The sequence below is a fragment of the Homo sapiens genome, chromosome 22 (genome assembly GCF_000001405.40).
Source record: "Homo sapiens chromosome 22, GRCh38.p14 Primary Assembly".
Lineage (NCBI taxonomy): Eukaryota > Metazoa > Chordata > Mammalia > Primates > Hominidae > Homo > Homo sapiens.
Window position 1 is genome coordinate 48,472,925 of NC_000022.11, and position 3,922 is coordinate 48,476,846.

At 49.3% G+C, this 3,922-nt stretch overlaps 1 long non-coding RNA gene across 1 annotated transcript; it reads right to left on the reverse strand.

The window, feature by feature from the left end:
• Positions 1 to 1,184: 1,184 nt before the first annotated feature.
• LOC124905142 (uncharacterized) lies at positions 1,185 to 3,482 on the reverse strand. Its single transcript, XR_007068143.1, has 2 exons — positions 3,386 to 3,482; positions 1,185 to 3,040 (listed from the first exon to the last, which is right to left on the reverse strand). It is a non-coding gene; the product is annotated as an uncharacterized LOC124905142 (long non-coding RNA).
• Between the last annotated feature and the right edge of the window lie 440 nt (positions 3,483 to 3,922).

The following is a 3,922-nucleotide window of genomic DNA, read 5'->3' on the forward strand; positions in this document are numbered from 1 at the left end:
TTTTTAATAAAATGTATTTCAATGACTCCTTTTTAATTCATGTTTAAGATCTCCAATTAGCTGCTTTTCACAAAAACACGTCATTGCCTTTTGTCTGTTTTTTATTATTTTTTGTGCATTTGTAAATATGATTTCACCTTCAATTCTCTCTTGAAACACCTTCAGCTTATTTTGAAGCCTCTGTTTGTATGTAAAGACATGAATGATTTTACCTAGAGTCAATTTATGTTCCAAGAGTTGGTTTTCTTGGTTACAGTTCTTTATTTCTTATCATTATATTCATTTATGCCTATCTCAGTTTGGACCTCCAAGCCAAATTTGAGTGGGAGAAGTTTGGGGGGGTGTTCCTCCCTATGTTTCTGTGCCTCTCTTTTTTCTCCTCCTCCTGCCTCTGTCTAAGGACGGTCCCTCCACTGCACCCTCCACGTGATCCTGACCCGGGTTCTCCATAGGATCTGTGTGACTTCCTGCAGGGATACTGCAGTTGTCTCGGGTCCATCCACAGTGCCAGGAGGGCTGGGCTCAGATCCCAGTCATGCGGTCTCTCTGTGCCTAAGGCTCACCTCTAACTGTATACCCTGGACTTTATTTACTTATTTATTTATTTGAGATGGAGTTTTGCTTTTGTTGCCTAGGCTGAAGTGCAATGGTGTGATCTCGGCTCACTGTAACCTCCGCCTTCCAGGTCCAAGCGATTCACCTGCCTCAGCCTCCAAAGTAGCTGGGACTATAGGCGCCTGCCACCACATCCAGCTAACTTTTTGTATATTTTTAGTAGAGATGGGGTTTCACCATGTTGGCCAAGCTTGTCTCGAACTGCTGACCTCAGGCCATCCACCTGCCTCGGCCTCTCAAAATGCTGGGATTACAGGCGTGAGACACCGCACCCAGCCGCTCCTGGACTTTAGAGCGAGTTTCCACTCTGATATCATGAGGTCACCTCACCTCTCCACTGTAGGCAGGGAGCCTGCCTCTACCCTCCATTCTGATGTTTCCGGTCACCAGCATTGGGCAGGATTCAACCCCGCCCACCTGCACCCGACTCTGGACTAAGGAGACCAGCTATTCTTTGGGTTTTTTTCTGAACGAGGCATCATGAGTATGGAGCAAAGGAGGTTATTACAAGGTGGATTCTCTATCCTGTCTTCATAGGAAACCCTTGCAATTGCTTTTAAGTGATAGAATTTTAAGTAACAAATACTCCCATCTTTTATTAAGAAATTCTCAAACAAATATATATCATGAAGAATGCTTATTTTGTAGAATTATGTATTAAAAATAATAGAAAATGAATGTGCAATATGCAAGAATAATACACTCATATGGCAAGCCCCAAAAGAACTTGAAAAATTAAGACACTTAATTTGTAAGTGTTATGGGATTCTGGATACAGTTTTCTTTTGACGAAAATGACAATCATCAAGAGTATATAATAGTTTGGTAGACTGAAGAGATAGAAGAATGAAGTAATAATTGTATTTAATGATTAAGCGATTTTCTTTTTTTGCAAGAAACAGGTCAAGTCTGCAAGCAGTTGGCATGCCAATTAGAAAAATCTTAGCAGTTATAATGAAAAATGAAAAAAAAAAGGAAATTAAAAACATTAACATTTGAAAGAGAAAAAAGATTCTTTCTGAATCATGTAGATGAAAGCCCAGGAGTTCTCTCAGAGGCCTGGAGGAGTTTGTCCTATGCCGTGGGTCAGTCCCAGCTCTGGGCTGTGTGTGGGGGCTATGGAGGACTCAGCCCTAGGACCCTGAGGGACCAGGAACCTGGGAGTGAGGGAACCAGGGTGGGGCTGCGTAGGAGTCAGTGGGATGCCACCCTGGAAGAAGAAAGACCAGGCTGAGTCACAAGGAAAAGCAGAAAAAGCAGGGGGGTCTTCGGACAGTTGAGCCAGTTAGGGGACAACTTTACCTTTTACAGTAATAATAATGCATCTTCTGTTTCTGCCAATGACCAACAAATCCCAGGTCACAGAAGACCACGGAGGGCACAGAGGGAAGGGGTGAACACTGCCTGGATTCCACTATGTACATTTCAGATAATGTTCCCCCCGAGGCCAGAGTCACACAGCAAGCTGGGCAGGACAGGCTTCGGACTGGTGGACGTGGCCTCGCCCCCTCTGCCTCCCACAGGCCGGGGGACCTGGCCTCGCCCCCTCTGCCTCCCGCAGGCTGGGGGACCCCAGGCCATGCACTCCTGAGGAATTTCCAATAGGCTGCGGCCTGGCACACACCTCTGAGGCTGCCAGAGCTCCTGCTCCTCCCTCTGTGTGCCATGGCCTGGGGACAGGGCCTCCCATGTTCCCAGAGTGAAGGGAAGCTGGACCCTGGCCTCCCTCCATGTGGGCTCTGATCACACATGTGCCCAGGTGCCCTCCACTCTGGGCTGGGGGCTGACTGCCGCCTACCCCTCCACACCCTCTGCGGAGAGAGTCAGTGTAGCTCCTGGCTCCAGAAGCTTCCACTGGGCTTCTGTGAGTTTCCCCCCTTTACTGTAAGTTAGAGTTTCAGCAAAAAGACATCCCATTTATCAATGTCCTCTTCATCCATCAATGCTCTTTGTTGATTGATGTGTTGAAAGCAATTCGTGTTACTTTCTTCAAGTGGAATCTTATTTGGGTATCATGGACCCCAAATCCCAAACTCTGACATCTGCTAAGGGTGTTCTTTAAAATCTTCTTTCGCCCAACAGTGAAGTGCGGATGGCTAAGCAAAGCATGGCAAGCCGATGGAACAATTTCGCTTTATCAGAAAGCTGCTGCATCTAGGCCAGCTCCAGGGCTGCCAAGACCCCGCGTGCATGCCCTTCCCATCTCATTCCTCTGGCATGCGCCACCCGACACAGGCCCAGGGCAGCCCCTGGCTCAGGCCCGACACCCTCCGACCTCCTCCAAACACTCCATACAGGGCGGTTCACTCGCTTCCCAAATGTCTACTGAGAACTGCAGGAGGTGCTCATGCTTCGGCAATGCATTTTCACTCTTTACAGCCCTGGGTGCAGCCTTCAGTTATGTAGATGAGAGCTCAAGTTGTACCTGGAAAAGTGAGGTGATTTGCATGAGTGTCCACAGCTCGTGGTAAAAATTGCTTTGGCTGACAACAAACCCCAGGTCACAGAAGACCATGGAGGGCACAGAGGGAAGGGGTGGACACTGCCTGGGAAAAGGGACAGCTGAGATGGGAGCTGGGCACAGCGCCACACAGGAAGGCGCCAGTGAGCTGTCCGTGTAGGTAACCTCTGGCCTCTGCCCTGGCCACAGTCTGGAAAAGACAGATGGAGAAACCTTTCTCGTCAGATAAAAGGTGCTGAGTGGATGGAATGGTGGCCCCCAAAAGATGTGTCTGTGTCCTGACCCCAGAATCTGTGAATGGGACCTTACTTGATGAAAAGGTCTTCAGGTTTTGTCATTAAGTTAAAGATCTCAAGATGGTGTCATCCTGGACTCTTCAGTTGGGCCCTAAATCCAACGACAGGTGTCCAGCTAAGAGACAAAAAAGGAGAAGACACAAAGAGAAGAGGAGATGGCCATGTGGCCACAGAGGAAGAGACTGAAGTGAGAGATCTAGAAGCCCAGGGTCTCCTGCAGCCACTGGAAGCCGGAAGAGGCAGGGAGAAGCCTCCTGAGAGCCTCCCGGGAGCGTGGCCCTGTGGACACCGCACATGGATTTCTGGCTTCTGGTCTCCAGAGCTGTGAGAGGATAAATTTCTGTTGCTTTGTGGTCATCTGTTATGCCGCCTCTCCCAGGAGGGTGGGGCTGGGTGCCACAGGCCCCAGGCAGCCATGAGCGCCTGACCCCTCCCCCAGGCAGGATGGAGAAGGACCTGGGGCAGCCAGGGTGTAGCCCTATGCAGACCCCACCACTGTGGGTTGGATGGGGCTCACGCCTATGACTCAGCTCTGCTAACCTGTATCTGC